This window comes from Homo sapiens, chromosome 14 (assembly GCF_000001405.40).
Source record: "Homo sapiens chromosome 14, GRCh38.p14 Primary Assembly".
Lineage (NCBI taxonomy): Eukaryota > Metazoa > Chordata > Mammalia > Primates > Hominidae > Homo > Homo sapiens.
Window position 1 is genome coordinate 23,235,415 of NC_000014.9, and position 22,109 is coordinate 23,257,523.

At 40.8% G+C, this 22,109-nt stretch overlaps 1 protein-coding gene across 7 annotated transcripts in view, besides 2 other annotated features; it reads left to right on the forward strand.

The window, feature by feature from the left end:
- RNF212B (ring finger protein 212B) overlaps positions 1-22,109 on the forward strand; it is an 88,142-nt gene that overhangs the window by 50,079 nt on the left and 15,954 nt on the right. For 4 of the 7 annotated variants that reach the window (NM_001370218.3, XM_011536323.3, XM_011536316.3 and 1 more), the window contains exons 3-5: positions 4,931-5,031; positions 7,842-7,894; positions 8,908-8,982. In NM_001370218.3, the coding sequence (NP_001357147.1) occupies positions 4,932-5,031; positions 7,842-7,894; positions 8,908-8,982 (228 nt within the window). In that variant the 5' untranslated portion in view covers position 4,931. Of the gene's footprint in view, positions 1-2,521; positions 2,642-4,930; positions 5,032-7,841; positions 7,895-8,907; positions 8,983-22,109 lie in introns of those variants that run through there. The other 3 variants (XM_011536328.3, XM_011536319.3, NM_001282322.3) reach the window with 2 other exon arrangements.
- Positions 2,212-2,576: a silencer, noted in NCBI's record as "fragment chr14:23706835-23707199 (GRCh37/hg19 assembly coordinates)". NCBI's record gives its function as "represses an EF-1alpha promoter that drives an FKBP-Casp9 reporter gene in an ReSE screen in phorbol 12-myristate 13-acetate-treated (for megakaryocytic differentiation) K562 erythroleukemia cells {active_cell/tissue: K562(+PMA)}" and the evidence as "EXISTENCE:reporter gene assay evidence [ECO:0000049][PMID:32094911]".
- Positions 16,666-16,960: a silencer, noted in NCBI's record as "tiled region #597; K562 Repressive non-DNase unmatched - State 23:Low". NCBI's record gives its function as "represses a minimal TATA promoter and a strong SV40 promoter by Sharpr-MPRA in K562 cells {active_cell/tissue: K562}" and the evidence as "EXISTENCE:reporter gene assay evidence [ECO:0000049][PMID:27701403]".

A 22,109-nucleotide genomic window follows, 5' to 3' on the forward strand; every position in this document is an offset into this window, starting at 1 on the left:
ACTTTTTTCATGGAATACTGTTTTTACTTGAAAGAACATCTAACATACAAACTATTCAGACTTAGGTATTTGGTAGGCATTTTCTCAAAAATAAACAAAACTGCCTTGCCACTTCAAGGAAAACCAGTGACAGTATTTGTTGCCAATGATAAAATTCAAGCTTTCAGATGAAAATTAGACCTTTGGAAAACTTGTACCTGCAACTGACAGCTTGACAGCTTCCCAAGACTCAAATACTTACCTGATGAGATAGATAGTGATATTAACAAAAGTGATTTTTTATATTGTGTAATGAACTGTGTCAATATTTAATATTGTATAACAAAATGCACTGATGTGTATAACTCAGTGAACCAAAATTTTTGAAATGACCAGTTTGGTCTAAATGTATGATGTTACAAAATCGTGCATGGGCAAAAGATCCATTTAAAGTGCAAAACAGACCAAATAATTTTAATGTAACCGGCTATAAAAAGTTCATTGATATGGTTCAGATCCCACTTTGCAATCAACTTTTAACTCAGACTTCCTGAATTTTTATGTGATATCAAAGAGAAATGTTCACAATTATCTGAAAAGGCCATTTAAATACCATTCTCTTTCCCCACATATTTGAGTGAATCCAAATGTTCTTCACACACTCCAACCAAAACAGCGTACTGCAAAAGTTAATGCAGAAGCAAATATAGGACTCCACCAGCTTTCTATTAAGCTACATAGCAAGAGATTACAAAAATGTAAAAACGATGCCACTCTTCTCACTAAATTTTTCTTGTTTTGGAAAACATATTTTCCATAGATTATTTATATTAACATTTTGGCCAGGCGCGGTGGCTCACACCTGTAATCCCAGCACTTTGGGAGACCAAGGCAGGTGGATCATGATGTCAGGAGTTCGAGAGCAGCCTGGCCAACACGGTGAAACCCCGTCTCTACTAAAAATAGAAAAAATTAGCTGGGCGTAATGGCAGGCGCCTGTAATCCCAGCTACTCAGGAGGCTGAGGCAGGAGAATCGCTTGAACCCAGGAGGCGGAGGTTGCAGTGAGCCGAGATGGCGCCACTGCACTCCAGCCCTGGCGACAGAGTGAGACTCTGCTTCAAAAAACAACAACAACAACAACAAAAAGCAAAAAAACCCCAAACAACAACAACAAACAAACACACATTTAATGGGGTTTATTATTGTTTTCAAATAATATTTAAAAATTTCAAATAATAAATATTTTAAAATTTCTCACTTTTAATTGCTAATTTGGTAAATATTGGTAGATGCAATTTACATAAACAAAAGCTCTTTGGAGGGTCTTCAATAATTTTGTAAAGGAAGCCTGAGACCAAAAAGTTTGAGAACTACTACTCTAAGTGGATTCCTCAGGAAAAGCTCATTTGCATGCTTTTTGCCAGTGGCCTTTATACCTGAACACAATATAAGGGGATATAAATTTCTGGGATCATAGTTTCCGTGAAAATCTGGAAAATGTTGTTTCATTGTTATCTAGAATGCTTCTGTGGAGAAATCTGATGCCAATCTTATTCTGTCTCTCTCTTTTTTTTTTTTTTTTGTTTGAGGCAGTGTCTTGCTCCCTCAACCAGGTTGGAGTGCAGTGGCGTGAACACAGCTAACTGCAGCCTCGACCCCGTGGGATTAAGTGATACACCTGCCTCAGCCTCCCTAAGTAGCTGGGACTACGGGCACCCGCCACCACACCCGGCTAATTTTTTTTTTTTTTTAAAGACGGAGTCTCTCTCTGTCTCCCAGGCTGAAGTGCAGTGGCGCGATCTCGGCTCACTGCAACCTCCGCCTTCCGGGTTCAAACGATTCTCCTGCCTCAGCCTCCTCAGTAGCTGAGATTACAGGTGCGTGTCGCCACACTCGGCTAATTTTTGTATTTTTAGTAGAAGCGGGGTTTCGCCATGTTGGCCAGTCTGGTCTATAACTCCTGACCTCAAGTGATCCGCCCGCCTCGGCCTCCCAAGGTGCTGGGATTACAGGCGTGAGCCACCGCCCCTGGCCAAAAATTTCTGAATAAAGGTTGACTTTTTTTAATTGAAATTTGTTAGTTCTCAATTAATATCACACTGTTCTTTGTCCGCATCATTTTTAAATTTTCCTGTTTCCGATTTTACGCTATTCTTTCAAAGCACCCATTATTTTCATTTCATTTTAGAATATTAAGCAAAAGTTTTCGCCCACTTTATGACCACAATTTATATTGCGTTCTCATCGTTTATTGGAACATTAATTAGGTTTTATTTTCACCTTTTTGTTTCCACAGTAACATGTATGGGATTAGGTTACAGTGTTTATTTGTCCCCAATCTTTTAAGTGAGGTGAATTTTCCTGGGCTGCTGGGAAAAGTCTCCTACACCCCTCTCCCGCCACCGCGAGCCGCTCCTAGCCCAGTGACAGCCTCTGCGGGCCCCGCCCACGCCCCGCGCACGCCACGGAGCCACGCCCACTGATTTAGCATACCGCCAGGCCCCGCCCACACCTCTCACACCGCCTCGGCTGCGCCCAGCCTCTTTCCTCACCCGGTGCCAAGCCAGCTGTTTACTTTCCCGCCATGTCCAGCTCTTCGTGAGGAGAACTGGATGATTTCCTGAGATCTGAGGCTTTCTGGAATCACAGCGGCCAAGCGGGTAGGGAGTGTAGCCAGAAAAAGAACTGAGAAGCTTGAGACGGCTGAGGCCCCATCGCCTCTGGAAAGCAGGGGAATTTTGCCCTCAGGGTCGCCTTAATCACCCTGTTCACTGCCTTTTTTATGTTGGGCTCATCTGGTCAATTCAGGGGATGACATTGTTGCTGCCCTTAAACAAACCTGGGCATATAGAACGGGGCCTTTTCAGTGGTTTTTTAGACTCACTTGCTGGTGAAAGTTAGTGTATCACGATCGAACAAATAGGACAACGAAGCTCGTGGCACTGTGGGATGCGTTTGCGTTGAGCTGTTTATTCAGTACATTTTTTATCGTAAATCTTACGAAGTTTGTATCCCTCAGCGGTTACACACACACACACATCCTACGAAAAGTCCCGGTGCAGTGACTCCCGCCTGTAATCCCAGCACTTTGGGAGGCCAAGGAAGGAGGATCGTTTGAGTCCAGGAGTTCCAGACCAGCCTGGGTAACACAGAGAGGCCTTGTCTCTACAAAAAATAAAAATAAAAATAAAAAATAGCCAGGCGTGGTGGTGCTCGCCTGTAGTCCCAGCTACTCCAGAGGCTGAGGTGGGAAGATCGCTTGAGCCCAGGAGTTCCAGGCTGCAGCGAGCCCTGATCTGCCACTGCACTCCAACCTGGAGACAGAGCCAGACCCTGTCTCAAAATAATAATAATAATAATAATAATAATAATAATAATAATAATAATCCCACAAAGAAACCTTACAAAGTCACATTTACTCAGGTATTTAACAAAGTATATGAAATTGGTATTGGCAGAAAATACAGGCTATATGATTACCATGTCTAACACAAAAGTTATTTAATGTGGGAGCAAGAACTTTACATGGGGAATCAGGAGACCAATAACTAAAGATGGAACTTTCGACAAGTCATTTAATTTTACTGAATATCAGGTACCTCTTTTGAAAAATGTTGGGACTGAACAAACATTAAGTAATTTTTCAAAGTCCATATCAGATCTATGATTCTGAGTTTCTTTTTTTTCAGATGGAGTCTCACTCTGTCGCCCAGGCTGGAGTGCAGTGGCACGATCTTGGCTCACTGCAACCTCCTGGGTTCAAGCAATTATCATGCCTCAGCTTCCCAAGTAGCTGGGGTTACAGGCGTGCACCACCACACCCAGCTAATTTTCTTTTATTTTTAGTAGAGACGGAGTTTTGCCACGTTGGCCAGGCTGGTCTTGAACTCCTGGCCTCAGGTGATCCACCCACCTCGGCCTCCCAAAGTGCTGGGATTACAGGTGTGAGACACCATGCTTGGCCTGATTCTGAGTTTCTGCAGAAGAAAAGTATATTTCCTTCTGTGGAAGGAAAGTATACAAGCTGAGACCATACCATCATTCATCAGCCCTATTTCCCTTAGATAAAATGTGTCCCAAGTGGCTAATATGTGATCTTCTCTTTCTGGTTCACTACCTTCTCTTGGCTCCACTCTCACCATATCACAGGAAGTAGTTAAAAAAGAAATGGACGATTCATTTTTTGTTTTTATATTTTTAGGATTGTATTTTCTTTTTTCTTTTTCTTTTTCTTTTTTTTTGAGACGGAGTCTGGCTCTGTCGCCTAGGCTGGAGTGCAATGGCACGGTCTCAGCTCACTGCAACCTCTGCCTCCTGGGTTCAAGTGATTCTCCTGCCTCAGCCTCCTGATTAGCTGGGATTACAGGTGCCTGCCACCATGCCCAGCTAATTTTTATATTTTTAGTAGAGATGGGGTTTCACCATGTTGGCCAGGCTGGTCTTAAACTTTTGACTTCAGGTGATCCACCTGCCTCGGCCTCCCAAAGTGCTGGGATTACAGGCGTGAGCCACTGTGCTTGGCCAGGATTGTATTTTCTAATTACAAACTGGCACATGTATTAATCCAGAAAACCTGGGGGAAAAAAAAGTAAAGGAAAACACACACACACACACACACACACTCATAACCTCACCACTCAAAAAAAAAAAAATCTCACCACTGTCTGTCCATTACTTTTCTAAATGTGTGTTTATATGTATATATATATACACACACACACATTTATATATAAAATGTTATAACAACCTGCTGTTATAAAAAGCAGTCTGCTTTTTTTTCACTGTATATGTACATATACTTCTTTACAACCAATTGGAATACCCACAATGATATGCCACATCCCAAAAAGCTATCAGAAGCTAAGCAAGCACGGTTACATAGATTTTGGAACAGCTATAATTATGTTATTCTCTAGGTTATTCTTACTCTTTCTCTTTATCTGCTCCAGAATGGATTGGTTTCATTGCAACCAGTGCTTCCGAAAAGATGGGGCCCATTTCTTTGTCACCAGCTGTGGCCATATTTTCTGTAAAAAGTGTGTGACTCTGGGTGAGTGACTCAACTGTTTTCAGATTCAGGGAAAAATGTTTTCATGTAAGGATGTAAGGAGTAGCCATTTCTATGTGTGACTTAGGATAAAAATCACTTATTAGGTCAATGGTGATAAAGATACTGTAGGAAACTGTCAATTTTAGAAATTGAAGGAATCCATTAATAAAGAATGGTCCTAAATTATTTAGCAAATGATTTAGCAAATCTATTACTTGAGGACTAGAATGTACTCGTTAGTGTTTTGAAGTCTGGCAGGGAAAGCCACAAGGCATCAGATTCTTCAGGGAAAAGAGATAGAATAAGTATAATGGATGGGAATAGAGGAAAGTTTGGCTGATAGAAGAGCCATTTCTAAAGGGGAAGTGGTCTAGTCTGTGACATCAATTTGATTAGAAATGATGATGATGATACCTTTGCAGCTTAAAAAGCAGTTTCATATCAACCAATTTTATGTAAGCCTCACCACAAGCCCAGGTGGTAATTATTAGTAGAATCATTTTACAAATGAAGAGACTGGCTCAGAGAGGATAAGTGATTTGACCAAGTTCTTATTGCTATTAAGTCTTAGAAAGGATACTTAAATTTCAGTGTCTTTTTTTTTAATGCTGCAATACTTACAAGGTGTGTAAATCCCTAGAAGAGGGACTTGGGGTAGGGTGTTTTGATCACGGAAGACTTCACAGAAGGAGTGATTCTTCAGTAGGGTTTTGAATGATAAAATGGAATTTGCCAAGTGGATAAGGCAGGGAAGATTTATTCTAGTTTAAGAGAACAGCATGTACAAAGACATATTACATCACAAAACCATAGTGCAGGGGACTACACATAGTTGAGATTGTTAGAGTATAAACAGTAAGGTAAGAAGTGGTGAGAGATGAGGCTAGTGAAGTAGGCAGTGTCGGATGATGGAAGGCTCTATACACTGGGCTAAAGAGCCTGAACTTCATCCTGCAGGTGATGGAGACCTGTGGGAGTTTTTGTTTTGTTTTGTTTTTGACATAGTCTCACTTCGTCACCCAGGCTGGAATGCAGTGGCACAATCTTGGCTCACTGCAACCTCTGCTTCCCAGGTTCAAGCGATTCTCATGTCTCAGCCACTTGAGTAGCTGGAATTATAGGCATGCACCACCATGCCTGGCTAACTTTTGTATTTTTAGTAGAGATGGGGTTTCACCATGTTGGCCAGGCTGATCTCGAACTCCCGGCCTCAAGTGATCCGCCTGCCTCAGCCTCCCAAAGTGCTGGGATTACAGGTGTAAGCCATTTTTTTGTTTTGTTTTGTTTTAAGAGAAGAATGTTATGTACTTTCTAGCTCACTCTGGCAACGTTACGGACTGGGAAAAAGAAAAACCTGGCCGGGCGCAGTGGCTCATGCCTGTAATCCCAGCACTTTGGGAGGCCGAGGCGGGTGGATCACAAGGTCGGGAGATTGAGACCATCCTGCTAACACGGTGAAACCCCATCTCTACTAAAACTACAAAAAATTAGCCGGGCATGGTGGCGGGCGCCTATGGTCCCAGCTACTCAGGAGGCTGAGGCAGGAGAATGGTGTGAACCCCGGAGGCAGAGCTTGCAGTGAGCCAAGATCGTGCCACTGCACTCCAGCCTGGGCGACAGAGCAAGACTCCGTCTCAAAAAAAAAAAAAAAAAAAAAAAAAAGAAAAGAAAAAGAAAAAGAAAAACCTTTAGTCCCCAGAGAAAGAACAGTCAAGTTAAGTAGCCTCAGGGGAAGGTTTTTTCTCTGTACCAATCTCATGACCTTTTAAAGTTCGCTAATGTAAAAAGCTGTTTACTATGGTAACAGCAGCTCACTTTGGAGTGGTTTGTCTCCGTGAAGCATATGCCATGTGATGTTTTCTCCTGACATGGCATTTGTCTTAATCAATGACCAGTCCCACTACTAAAATTTCACTTTACAGGGAAAGATTAGGAATCTTAATTTTTGCTTCTTTCAGATTGGGTTAATTGGGGAATGAGAGTAGCAGAGCTTCAAAGCAAGATTAACAAATATTAGCAAAGTGATGACAAGGTAGGCATAACTGGGGACTTTCTTACAGTGCCCAATGTGTGCCTGCTGTCAGGTCAATAGAATAAAAAAGAGTAACTTAAAGTTAAGATCTTTGGTATCTTGTACTCTTCCTCACTCTTGTAAATGTACTCCAGTACTTCTGCTGGGAGTTTAGAATTGTCCCTTCTGTCCCACAGAAGAAAATTGGGAATTTATAAAAAGATGGGGCAGGAGGTGCTGGGGTGGTGGCTCATGCTTATAAACTCACCACTTTGCGGGGGCCAAGGTGGGAGGATCACTTGAGCCCAGGAGTTCAAGACCAGCTTGAGCAACATAGGGAGACTCCATCTCTAAAGATAATAACAAAATTAAAATGAGTTGAGGTGGTGGTGTGCGCCTGTGGTCCCAGCTAGTCAGAAGGCTGAAGCAGGAGGATCACTTGAGCCCGGGAGGTTGAGGCTGCAGTGAGCCATAATTGTGCCACTGCATTCCAGCCTGGGTGATAGAGTGAGACCTTGTCTCAAAGAAAAAGTAAAATAAAATTTAAAAAGATAGGGAGATGGGTAGACGTACGGTGTGAAAGCCCTACTTATATCTCAACATATTAGTTTGGAAACACTTGTTTAGAGAACAGAGCTTAAGTTGATGTCCTTTTATAACACAATGATATTCTAAATTCAGTTAAGAACCCTTTTTTTCTTCCTTTGCTAGCATACTAGATTGTTGCCATGTACTTTAAGTCTTTAAATCTTACCTCATGCTCATGAGAGCCAAATATTTTTTTCCCTTTTCCTCCCAGAAAAATGTGCTGTTTGTGGAACTGCCTGCAAGCATCTGGCTCTTTCTGATAATGTAAGTTTTTCTCCCCCTGCCACAAACTGTCTCATCCCATTCCTGGCCTGTAGGAAGTATATACAAAGTACAGATGATGAATTGTTTCAAAAAGAAAGAAAAGAAGACCGGGCGTGGTGGCTCAGGCCTGTAATCCCAGCACTTTGGGAGGTCAAGGCGGGTGGATCGCCTGAGCTCAGGAATTTGAGACCACCCTGGGCAACATAGTGAAACCCTGTCTCTACTAAAATATAAAAAATTAGCCAGGCGTGGTGGTGCGGGCCTGTAGTCCCAGCAGCTTGGGAGGCTGAGGCACGAGAATTACTTGAGCCCAGGAGGTGGAAGTTGCAGTGAGCTGAGCTCGCGCCACTGCACTCCAGCTTGGGCTCAGAGTAAGACTCTGTCTCAAAAAAAAAAAAAAAAAAAAAAAAAGCAAGCAAGCAAGCAAGCAAGCAAGCAAAGAAACAAACTTGCAGATAGAAGTTTGTAAAAAGAGTATAAATAACAGGCCAGCTGAGGAGGCTCACACCTGTAATCCCAGCACTTTGGGAGGCTGATGCGGGTGGATCACCTGAGGTCAGGAGTTCGAGACCAGCCTGGCCAACATGAGGAAACCCTCGTCTCTACTAAAAATACAAAAATTAGCTGGGTGTGTTGGTAGGCACCTGTAATCCCAGCTACTCAGGAGGCTGAGGCAGAAGAATCACTTGAACCCAAAAGGCGAGGGTTGCAATGAGCCTAGATCACACCACTGCACTCCAGCCTGGGTGACAACAGCAAAACTCTGTCTCAAAGAAAAAAAAAAAGTATAAACAACAGATGGAAGCATTATTTGTGACCACTGTTACAGAAGCACAAGGTAAGGAGAATTGGACATATAATGTACATCTAGAAGAGTGGAGATCTCCCTTTTACACACAGTGGAGATAATGTCAGGTACATTAGAAAAGGTGGTACATCTTTTGTCATGTTAGTCAGTATTTTATTTTATTCAATTGTGGATATTCTCACAGTGTGTATTGCTCTCTTCGTAGCTGAAGCCTCAGGAGAAGATGTTTTTCAAAAGTCCTGTGGAGACAGCTTTGCAGTATTTTAGTCACATCTCTCAGGTATGAGAAACAAAAGTGAAGAAAATCTGACTCTCCAGGCAAATTCTAATTGCATCTTATTCCTTTATCAAAGGTTTTCTTTAAACTGCATTTGTACACAATGGAGGGAAATTGACTGCTTTCTTTGCTTTCTTCCTTGATGATACAAATTTCAATCAGTTAACTTTTTATTGACCCAGAATCTGTGATAGGCTGTAAAAGTCACTAAGTAGCTAACATCTTGCCTTGTATTTCCTAGTTGTATTAATTAATTTCTACGACTAAAGGTTGTTTTAGGGAGCTTTATCATTTTTCTCAGCAGATAGATGCACCTTCTAAAAATTGCTTTGAGTATATAGGCCTGGCCCTGCAAACAATAGGTTTGATGGTTTAACTTGCAACCAGTAGTTTATAGCACTAAGTTTACGAGAGTATTTCTTGTTTCCCATTCTCACTTTTCAATAACCTTTTTAGTAATACTTACCTCTTCATTTAGTGTTCATAACTGGTTGCTTGAATTTTAGGAAATATCTTTTCTTGATGTGTCATATGTTGGCATACAATTGACTTGATCAGGAGCAACAGGAATGTAGAAGAAGGTAGAGAGAAGGCAGGACAACCATTTGAGAGAGTTCCCAAGTTGTAAAAACTTTGGTTTTTTTCCTTCTACTCCCCATTTCTCTTAGATTATTCTATAGCCTCATGGAATTCCTATCTTGGCATATTTCTTGAGGTTTTTATCACTGTTCCCTTTCTATACTCTTACTTCTTATTCTTTTGAAAATACCCCTTTTCTAAACCTCAAGATGATCCTTAGTCATTTTCTGGTTGAAGATTTAATTTTTCTTCAGTGTCCTGCCTCTCAATCCTCACTCTAGAGATGGAGTAAGGGGAATTAAGGCTTGCTGCTTGCTGTCTTTAGCTGCTTGGTTGAGCCATCATATTTGACATACACTATATTTAACATTATAAGTATATTAAAATCCAGCTGAGACTCAAGGAGAAATGTAAACAAGGTCATAGGAACAAGAGAAAGAGCAGACCTTTAGTTAATAAATAAACCTAGGCATAGTTAATGATCAGTAGAGAAATCATATGTAGTCTGAATCCTAACCTGCCTGATCATGGGACCAATTACACATGGTCAAGTATCAAGATAAAAGAAATGGAAAGGGTCAGTTAATCATCACTTTAGTGAAGGGCCAATTTGGTGAAGTCAGCAAAGTCTGAAAATGTGTTTTCCTAATTTGTGAAGCTGAGTAACTGATCCAATACCTAGATTGTTTCATTCAGGCTTCTGCTCAAAACATTCTTCTTCAGTCAGTCCTTTAGTGACTCTCATATTTCAAATAGTAGCCCCAACATTTTCTACTCCTTACCATGCTTTTTTTTGCATTGTAGTTCTTTTCTCTAACATTATGTTATATATTTGTTGTCTGAATCCTGCACTGGAATATAAGCTCCATGAAAACAGATTTGGTTGGTTTTGCTTATTGTTCTCTTTTAATAGTCCTTAATAAGTAGTGGACGCTCAAGACGTTGTCATTGAATGAATGAATGAATGGAATGTTGTTGTAAATATCTATTTATGTTTTTATGTTCTCCAATCTCTACAAAGACTTAAGGCCATTTTTCTGCTGTACTTTGTGCTAATAGTTGATCAAGCTGACTGTTTTGAATTCTTTACTCACCTCAAGATAATCTTTCTGAGGGACTGGAGAACCTCATATAGATCTGTAAGTCTGTAAGTTTTCTTTTCTTTTTTTTTTTTTGAGATGGAGTCTTGCTTTTGTCTGTCACCCAGGCTGGAGTGCAGTGGCAAGATCTCAGCTCACTGCAACCTCTGCCTCCAGGGTTCAAGCGATTCTCCTGGGGGCAGGGCAATTTCAATCTTACTCATCTTATATGTCAGCTCCTAACATAGTACCAGGAGCATAGAAGGATTCAATAAATAATTTATGAAAGAATTAATGAACTAATCTTCCCTATTGAAGTTTTCCTTTAATGTATATGAAATACAGTAAAGTGATAATACTGGGAAAACTGTTGATGTAGAAATCTAATGACCAACTCGGCCTGCTAACTTATAGCTTTATTTCTTTGAACCAGTCATACTTCCTCACATGTAATATGAAATAATAATACTTATCCTACTTCTTGTAAAGATCCAATGAGACAATGTTTATGGAAATATTTTAAAAACTGTAAAGTACTTTAAAAAAAAACAAACAAAAAACAGAGACAGTCTTGCTATATTGCCCAGGCTGTTCTCAAACTCCTGGCCTCAAGCAGTCCTCCCACCTTGCCCTACCAAAGTGCCAGGATTACAGGTGTGAGCCACCATGCCCAATCTGAAAACTGTACTTTATTAGTTTAAAGAATAATGTGGAAAAGTCATGAAAGGTTATGAGTGATCACAAACCCACTTAAAAATAGTTGAAGATCATATAAGTGAAAAGAAGTTTGTATTTTAAAAAATTGTTGGCCGGGTGTGGTGGCTCACGCCTGTAATCCCAGCACTTTTGAAGGCCACGGTGGGTGGATCACCTGAGGTCCGGGGTTCGAGACCAGCCTGACCAACATGGAGAAACCCCGTCTCTACTAAAAATAAAAAATTAGCCAGGTGTGGTGGCACGTGCCTTTAATCCCAGCTACTCGGGAGGCTGAGGCAGGAGAATCACTTGAACCTGGGAGGTGGAGACTGCGGTGAGCCAAGATCGCACCATTGCACTCCAGCCTGGGCAACACGAGCAAAACTCCATCTCAAAAAAAAAAAAAATTGTTTTCAAGGGGAAGTATAAACACCCCATCTACTTTTTTTTTTAGGTCCACTAGTTTTCATGCAATCACCTTCTTTTTTAATAACAGCTTTATTGAGATGTAATTTACATACCATAAAATTTACCCTTTTAAAGTATGCAATTCAGTGGTTTTTAATACATCCACAGAATTGTGCAAACACTACTGCCTAATTTTCAAACATTTTCATCACCCCAGAAAGAAGCTCTGTACTTATCGGCAGGCACTTCCCAAACCCTTCCCACCCTCCCCATCCCCAGGCGATCACTAATTTACTTTCTGTTGCTATGGTTTTTCCTGTTCAGGGCATTTCATAAATATGGAATCATATAATGTATGGTCTTTTGTGACTTGCTGCATTCACTAAGTATAATGCTCTCAAGTTTCATCCATGTTGTAGCATCTCTGTTAGGACTTTATTAGTATTTCATTCCATTTTATGGCCAAATAATAATCTATTATATAAATGGATATACATTTTACTTATCCATTCATTAGTCAATAGACATTTGGGTTGTTCCTACTTTGGGGCTATTATAAGTAATATTGCTATGGAACATTTATGTACAAGTTTTTACATGGACATATATTTTTATTCCTCTTGGGTATATACCTACGAGTGGAATTTCTGGGTCAAATGGTAACTCTATATTTAACTTTTTTAGGAACTGCCAGACTGTTTTCCCAAGTGGCTGTACCATTTTACATCCTTAGCAGCTCTTTTAGTCTGTCTGGGCTGCTATAATAAAATACCTTAGACTGGGCAATTTCTAAATAACAGAAATTTAATTTTAACAGTTCTGGAGGCTGGGAAGTTCAACATCAAGGCACTAACAGATTCAGTGTCGGGGGAGGGCTTACTCTTTGCTTCCAAGATAATGCCTTCTTGCTGCATCCTCACATGGCAAAAGTGGCAAACAGGCTCCTTCAAGCCTCTTTTTATTTAGTTTTTTGAGACAGGGTCTCACTCTGTCACAAAGGCTGGAGTGCAGTGGTGTGGTTGTGGCCAGTGGTGCAATCATGGCTCCCTGCAGCCTTGCCCTCTTGAGCTCAGGCGATCCTCTCACCTCACCCTCCCAGGTAGCTGGGACTACAAGCACATGTCACCACACCTGGCTAGTTTTTGTGTTTTTTTTTTTTTAATAGATACAGGGTTTTACCATGTTGCCCAGGTCTCGAACCCCTGGGCTCACGCAATCTGCCCGCCTCAGCCTCCCAAAGTGCTGCAATTACAGGCATGAGCCACCACGCCCAACCCCAAGCCTCTTTTTTTTTTTTTTTTTTTGAGACAGAGTCTTGCTCTGTCGCCCAGACTGGAGTGCAGTGGCACGATCTCGGCTCACTGCAATCTCCGCCTCCCGGGTTCAAGCAATTATCCTGCCTCCACCTCCTGAGTAGCTGGGATTACGGGCATGCGCCACCACACCTGGCTAATTTTTGTATTTTTAATAGAGATGGGGTTTCACCGTGTTGGTCAGGCTAGTCTCGAATTCCTGACCTCGTGATCCGCCCACCTCAGCCTCCCAAAGTGCTGAGATTATGGGCATGAGCCATCACGCCCGGCCCCCAAGCCTCTTTTTATAAGGACACTAATCCCATTCACAAGAGCAAAGCCTTCATGACATAATCACCTCCTAAAGCCTCCATCTCTTAATACTATTGCATTGGGAGTTGAGTGTCAACAAATGAATTTTTGTGGGACACAAATATTCAGACCACAGCAGGCCAGTAAATATTTTAAGCTTTGCAGGCCATACAATTTCCGATGCTGCTACCCAACTCTGCTGTTGTAGCATGGAAGCAGCCATAGACAGCATGTAAGCAGCCACAGACAGCATGTAAGCAAATGTGTGTAATTATGTTCCAATAAAACTTATTTACAAAAACAGACAGCTGGTTATGGTCAGTTGTTTGCTGACCCTTGGTCTATTTTATGGTTTTTAAAAGATTTTTGAAGTCATATGTTTTTACTAATATATACATACATAATTGCTACATATACTGTTGGAATAAAATCAGGTCAAGATTTGATCTCATCAATAGACCAGAGCTTCTCCATCCCTCAGCTGAATTAAGAATTTGAACAACTGAGGTACTCAGTGGGCCAGGCGCAGTGGTTCATACCACTTTGGAGGCCAAGGTGGGAGGATTGCTTGAGGCCAGGGGTTTGAGACTAGCTTGGGCAACATAGTGAAACCCCTTCACTACAAAAAATTTAAAAATTAGCTGGGCATGGTGGCACACACCTGTAGTCCAGCTACTCAGGAGGCTGAGGTGGGAGAATTGCTTGATCCCAAGAGGTTGAGGCTGCAGTGAGCCATGATTGCACCACCATACTCCAGCTTGTGTAAAAATAAAAAATTAAAAAGAGATACTCAATGGTGCTTTTGAAGAAAAGTTGTATTTAGTTTGATATTATTTTACCTAAAAAGGAAAAGCTTTCAGTATTTAGGACTTCTGAAACAGTGTAGTTGAATTCTTCATCACTACTGAGCAGGGGATTGAGGAACCTTAGGCCAGTGTGAGGTAGTATTCCTTTGATCATACAAACTGTGCAACCCAAAACATAACCCTCTGCCTGGTGGGCTGCTGTGGCTCTCATCCAGAGTGGGTACTTCAGACATCTTACTAACAATTCTCCAATTGCTTTTGCTAAGAAAGCATTTTTAGGGTTCTTTTTTCCTCAAATCTGTTCCCTCTGAACCGTCACGATAATCTATTTCAATTACAAATCTGAACAAGTAACTGCCTTTTCAAAATCCTTTGGTGGCTTCCTATCACTTAAGTTTCAGACTGCTCAGAGTGATACATAGTTACCTTAACGTTCTGGTTCCTCCTAACCTCTCCAATTTCAATCACAACTACCATCTCACCTCTCATGTACAAACACAAGTTATTACGTAAGGTTATTTATTACCTAATCTATTAGGCAGATTCAGTTCTTTGCAGTTCTTTTACAGACCATATACTTTCATACCTTTATACCTGAAATGCCTGATTTCTACACTTTAAAAACTAAGTTAGGCCAGCCGTGGTGGCTCACGCCTCTAATCCCAGCACTTTTGGAGGCTGAGGGGGTGGATCACTTGAGGTCAGGGGTTCAAGATCAGCCTGGCCAATATGGTAAAACCCTGTCTCTACTAAAAATACAAAAAATTAGCCAGGTGTCATGGTGGCGCGTGCCTGTAATGCCAGCTGCTTGGGAGGCTGAGGCATGAGAATTGCTTGAACCTGGGAGGCAGAGGTTGCAGTGAGCCTAGAATGTGCCACTGCACTCCAGCCTGGGTGACAGAGCGAGACTCTGTCTCAAAAAAAAAAAAAAAGACTGAATTAATAATTACCTCTTAATCATTATCTCTATATCTTGTAAGTACTTGTGTTCTGCGTATAACCTAGTGTTTTACTTATTAGTTCATGTGTCAGAATGTCTCTTCTACTAGACTGTGATAAGCTACTGTAAACCCGGAAAATCTGAGACAAGTCTCAGTTAATTTAGAAAGTTTATTTTGCCAAGATTGAGGACATGCGCCTCAGAAGGTTCAGACGACATGTGCCCAAGGTGGTCAGAGTACAGTTTGGTTTTATACATTTTAGGGAGACATGAGACATCAATCAACATATGTATGATGAACATTGGTTCGATCGGGAAAGGTGGGACAGCTCAAAGTGGGAAGGGGCTTCTAGGTCATAGGTAGATAAGAGACCAATGGTTGCCTTCTTTTGAGTTTCTGATTAGCCTCTCCAAAGGAGGCAATCAGATATGCATGTATCTCAGTGAGCAGAAGGGTGACTTTGAATAGAATGAAAGGCAGGTTTGCCCTGAGCATTTCCCAGCTTGGCTTTTCCCTTTAGCTTAGTGATTTGGGGGGTCCAACATATTTTCCTTTGACACTACTAAAAGACAAGAACCCATACTATTCATCTTAGCATTTCCAGTTCTTATGCCTGACGTAAAGTGTTCAGTAAAGGTTTGCTAAATGGAAAGATGAATAATATTTGCACTATATATTTTCTGCCCCTGTGTGAGATGTTTTCTGATACCAACCAGTTCTCTGACACCAACTAGGTATGCAACAATTCAATTCAATTCAATTCAATTCTAACACTAATTCCTAGAGTTTTAGTATCATACTTCACATGTTTAGGGCTCAGCCTCACAAGACTGCCCCGACTCTGGACACCAGCCACAAATGGGGTACCCAGGCTAAAATACTTCAGACTGGCCAACAACAAACTTGAGGATTCCCATGAACTTCCTCCTGCTCCCACAAGCTTCAATAATTTGCTAGAATGACTCACAGAACTCAGAAAAGTACTTTGTTTATTATTACCAGTTTATTATAAAAGATACAACATAGGGGCCAGGTGCAGTGGCTCACGCCTGTAATCCCAGCACTTTGGGAGGCTGAGGCGGGCAGATCACCTGAGGTCAGGAGTTCGAGACCAGCCTGGCCAACATGGTGAAACCCTGCCTCTACTAAAAATACCAAAAGTAGATGGGTGTGGTGGCGGGCGCCTGTAATCCCAGCTACTCTGGAGGCTGAAGCAGGAGAATCACTTGAACCTGGGAGGTGGAGGTTGCAGTGAGCCAAGATTGTGCCACCACACTCCAGTCTGGCAACAGAGTGAGACTCTGTCTCAAAAAAAAAAAGAAAGAAAGAAAACCATATATCATGGAAATAGCCAAATGGAAAAGATGCAAAGTATGTGAGGAGGGGTGCAGAGCTTCCATACCCTCTCCAGATGCACTACCCTCCCAGCACCTCCAAGTGTTCACCAACTTGGTAACTCTCTGAACCGCCTTGTTCAGGAGTTGTTATGAACGTTCCATTACATAGGCATGATTGATTAAAGAATTTGTCATTGGCGATTGAACTCAATCTCTAGCCCCTTTTCCCTCTCTGATTGTCAGGGGTTGGGGGGCGTGGGAAGAAAGGTTGGGACCCCAACCCTCTAAACAGTGTTTGGTTCCCCTGGCAACAAGTCCCCATTTTGATGCTACCTAGGACCCACCAAGAGTCACCTCATTAGCACACATTCAGGTATGGTTGAAAGGAGCTTGTTATGAATAACAAAAGATGCTCCTATCACTCAGGAAATGCCAAAGGTTTTAGTAACTCTGTGAGGAACCAGGGGCGAAGACCATATATGTATTTCTTACACCACACCCTGTTCAAAAGATCCCCCTCAAAATCAGCCCATTAAAAAAAAGTTTATTATGATTTCATCACATGTAATTTCAAATGTTTAAAAGAATATAATGATATGTATAATATAATTAATTTCTGAACCATATCAGGTTCATTGCCCAGTGCATGGCAAATTAGTACACCAAGACACTGGGTTGCAGCAGAGAAAGGGGTTTAATCATAAGACAGCTGAACAAGGAGATAGGAAACCTCAAATTTGCCTCCAGGAGGAGTTTGAGGCTAGAGGTTTTTAAAGGGTTGGACAGGTAGTAAGCCAAGGTGTGGGGATCATTGATTGGTTAAGGAATGCAGGTTGAAGTCATGAGAAGCGGGGATGAAGAAATTGCATTCTCATGCTGATTCAGTTCCTCTGTGGGGGTCTTTAGACTCACTGTTCCACTGGAATTCAGGATCTGAAAACTATCTTAAGCAACTTTTAAGCAAAAGCCTTATGATTCTAATGTCATATTCTATTTATGAGAACAATGAGGATGCAAATGGTCAGCATCTAGTGTGATGTGACTTTCGCAGCTAAAAGGAAGTGGGCCAAGTGCAGCCTGATTAATGCTTAATTATAACTATATTTCTGTCCAGAGCCAAGCATGTAATTCTTGTTAAACCCTATGAGGACGGTTTATTTTCATGCATCCATCACTCCACTTCAACAATTATCAGTGAATGGCCAGTTTTCCTCCATCCATACCTCTTGCCACCCCCACCCAGATTATTTTAAAGCCAAAACCAAATATTACGTCATTTCTATCTGTAAACATTTCAGTGTGTATCTCTAAAAGATAGGAACTTTTTTCTTAAATATAACCACATCATGCTAAAATAACAATTCCATAATATTATCAAATTATCAGTCCCCATTCACATTTCTCCAGTTGTCTCAGTTTTAAAATGTTCCCACATTTTGAATTGAGTTTCAATAAAGGTATATATTTCAGTTGGTTATTATGTCTCTTAAGTTTCTTTTACACTATAAGTTTTCTCTTGTTTCTTTTTAAGTTATTATTGAAGAAAATGGTCTTTTGTCTATAGAGTTGTTCACAGTGTGGATTTTGTTTATTGTACCTATGGAGTCATTTCATATGTTCCTCTGTCCTCTATTTCTTGTAAATTGTTAGGTAAGTTTAGGGTTTATCACCATCATTGGTTTGGGGGCGGGGAAAGGTGAGGCAAGACCACTTTATTCTAGTGTTGTATTCCACCAAGAGGTACTTAATGGTCTATGTCTCTTATTTTGTATGAGGGTAGCCATTGATGAACTTTGCAGAGATCCTTAATTCATTAGAAGTTGTAAAATTCCAATTCTGTCATCCTTTCTTATTTTTTTAGTTGGAGTACTTCTAAAGAGAAATGTCCTTTTATCAAGCAAATGATTATCCAGATATATAGTTCAAAAATACTAAGACTTGCTTGTAGATATTATGGAATGAGGGAGTTTCACAAAAGATAGATAAGGCAAACTAATAGGTTTTGAATGTCAAAGAGATCGTGAATTTACCAATATCTTTAAAGTGAATTTCTAAAACTTAGTGACTTATTTACAGATGTTCAAAAATTAAATTGCGTGCAAAAATAAATCTTCAACTAAATACAAATGCTGACATTTAAAAATAAGAACTAAGGCTAGGCACAGTGGCTCATTCCTGTAATCCCAACACTTTGGGAGGCCGAAGTGGGAGAACGGCTAGATCCCAGGAGTTTGAGATCAGCCTGGGCAACATAGTAAGACCCTTTCTCTTAAGAAGAAAAAAATTAAAAAATTAGAGGGGTATGGTGGCATGCACCTGTTGTCCCAGCTACTCGGGAGGCTGAAGTGGGAGGATCACTTGAGTCCAGGAGGTTGAGCCTGCAGTGAACTGTGAACAAACCCCTGCACTCCAGCCTGGGTGACAGAGCAATACTCTTTATCTCAAAAACAAAACAAAACAAAACAAAACAAAACAAAAAAACAAAAACAAAAACAAAAACTAAAACTAAAACTGGGCATGGTGGCTCACTCCTATAATCCCAGCACTTGGAGGATGACATGAGGCCAGAAATTTGAGACCAGCTTGGGCAACATAGCAGGACCCCATCTCTATCAAAATAAAAATAAATAAAAATAAGAACTGGGAAGGTCATTCTTTAGTACAAAAATGATAATCAAACTAATATTCATTTCCAAAGCATATATTACTTTTTTGTATGTGTGTGCTTTTGGTAGAGATAGCATTTTGCCACGTTGCCCAGGCTGTTCTCAAACTCCTGAGTTCAAGATATCTGCCCACCTTGGCTTCCCAAAGTGCCAAGATTACAGGCATGAGCCACTGCACCTGGCCTAGTTTTATAAACAAACAAGAATGTTTTGTTTACAATAACCCACATTGGACCAAAACGTCTTGTCTTATCATAGTAAACCTACTAAGCTCCCCCTTTGCTTCCATTACTGTGCCTCTCTCAGTATTTTTCAGTTATTTCTCCTTTACTCTTTCCAACCTTTTGTTGGACCTAATTCAGAACTGAAGTTTTAATATGCTCTCTCAAGCATATAAAATAAAAATTATGTTTCATATATAAAATAAAGTTTATACAAGGCTGTTGGTTTGGATTGAGTTTCTGTACTAGGTCCAACAGACCAAACCAAAATGGAATTACTCATGCTGACAGTTCATCTGATCTTCCAAGAAATCAGGAGAGAGAGAGGTAATAGCTAAATCTCCAAACAGGCCAATTTTAGCTGGCATAATAAAGAAGTCCCCTCTGCTTTACCCTTTACAAGGAAAGTAACTTTGAACCAACCTATGCACTTTTTGTTCTCTGTTTCTGCTTTCTTCAGCCCTTTTCTGCCTAAAAAGCCAACTTGTCTTCTCAGTTAATCAGAACACTCATTCTGTGTTTTAGAATAATGTGTTCCTCAAGTCTAGGACTGCAAATCAAAGCCAGTTAATATCTTTAAACTAAATTTGTTGTAATTTTGTATTTTGACATGTTATCAATAGTAAAATGGTAGGAATCCAGAGCATGAAGACCATGATATCCTTACCTGGTCCTAGTATGGAGATAAAGGAAAGGAATCAGGGTATAGAAGTAGATAGTTTCATACCAATAAAATGTTGGTATCAATGTTCCAATAAAACAAACAATATTTAACACTTGCATTATCCAGACAATGTTAAGTGTTATCATCAATAGAACTACTTTTATTATTATCAGCTCTGTGTTACTGTATTAACAAAATAATCACACCTTTAAGAAAAAGTAAGTTATTGGGAGGCCAAGGCAGGAGGATTGTTTGGGACCAGGAGTTCAAGACCAGTCTGGGCAATATAGCAAGATATCATTTCTAAAAAAATTTTTTTAATTTTTAAAAAAGCAAGCAAGCAAACAAAAGTTAATCTTCTTTGGAAAAACGAAAGAGACCAACCTCTTCATGAGGCTGAGGGATTTGAAAGATTGCTAACTATTGGTAATTTTTTAAAGTACTGTACTGAGGTACATTACTGAGTTAGATTTTAGAATCTTCTTCAGTGAATGTGTTTGATATAGGCTAAACATTTGTACCCTGGCATCAGGCAAAATCACTGCTTCTTTAATACTCCTTGCTGGTTGTTTTCTGGACTGGTCTTTCTTCTTCTTGGAATGATCAGTTTTTTGGGACAAGTAGACAAAGTAGGTTTGCTTAGGCCTGGCAAAAGACCCTCCCATAGTCCAGTCTGGCTCCCTGGAGTTCCACAGTGGGGTCTGTTTATGCACTTACGACCCTTGGTAATGTCAAAGGGAGGGCTAACTAATCTAGGGTAGGATTTGGCTTATCTTGATGCTAGCCTGATTTTGACATAATTTTACTCCTGACTAATCCCACTAATCCCAAGGGTAGGATTAGGATATTTGGGATACTAACATTGTGATTTGGCTGTCTATTATATAGCTTTATCTCTGTTGCTCCTCACTCCTACCCCCCTGCCATTTTAGGTAATTCCCAGGATTCAGAGTGACTTTTATTCTGCTTCTCCACTGTTTAATTTTTTTTTTTTTGAGATGGAGTCTCACTCTGTTGCTCAGGCTGGAGTGCAGTGGTGCAATCTTGGCTCACCGCAACCTCCACCTTCTGGGTTCAAGTGATTCTCCTGCCTCAGCCTCTCCATTAGCTGGAATTACAGGTGCACGCCACCATGCCTGGCTAATTTTTGCATTTTTAATAGAGACGGGGTTTTGCCATATTGGCCAGGCTGGTCTCGAACTCCTGACCTCAAGTGATCTGCCCACCTTGGTCTCCCAAAGTGCTAGGATTACAAGCATGAGCCACCACGCCTGGCCTCCTCTATTCAAATTTTCTAAAATAATTTTTTTAAGTTGGGCTGTTGCTCTGTTGCCCAGACTGCAGTGCAGAGGCACGATCATGGGTCCCTGCAGCCTCAAACTCCTGGGTTCAAGCAATCCACCCACTTCAGCCTTTCAGGTAGTTGAGATTACAGGAATGTATTATCACGCCTGGCTAAATTTTTTAAATTATTTTTTGGCCGGGCATGGTGGCTCACACCTGTAATCCCAGCACTTTGGGAGGCTGAGGCAGGTGGATCACGAGGTCAGGAGTTCGAGACCAGTCTGACCAACATGGTGAAACCCTGTCTCTATTAAAAATACAAATATTAGCCAGGCGTGGTGGCGGACGCCTGTAATCCCAGCTACTCAGGAGGCTGAGGCAGGAGAATCGCTTGAACGTGGGTGGCGGAGGTTGCAGTGAGCTGAGATCGTGCCATTGCACTCCAGCCTGGGCGACAGAGCGAGACTCAGTCACACACACACAAAAAAAATAAAATAAAATAAATCAAAATTATTTTTCATAGAGACAGGGTCTTGCTATGTTGCTTAGGCTGGTCTCAAATTCCTGGCCTCAAGCAATCCTCCTGCCTCAGCCTTGGCTTCCTGAGTCTCTGAGATTATAGGCATGATCACCATGCCTGGCTTAAAGTAAACATTTTCTTTTCACAGCTTAAAATAAACATTTTAGTTTTATTAAAAATGAGGGTTTAAAAAAATAGACTAGAGTAAATTCTTATCTATCTAAAACTAGTTTAGTTTACTTTCAAGTAGAAAGGAAACTCTTAAGTACAATTCTTTAGTAAGGTGGCAAGAGCAATTTGAAAATTAAGTGAGAACAAAAAGTTT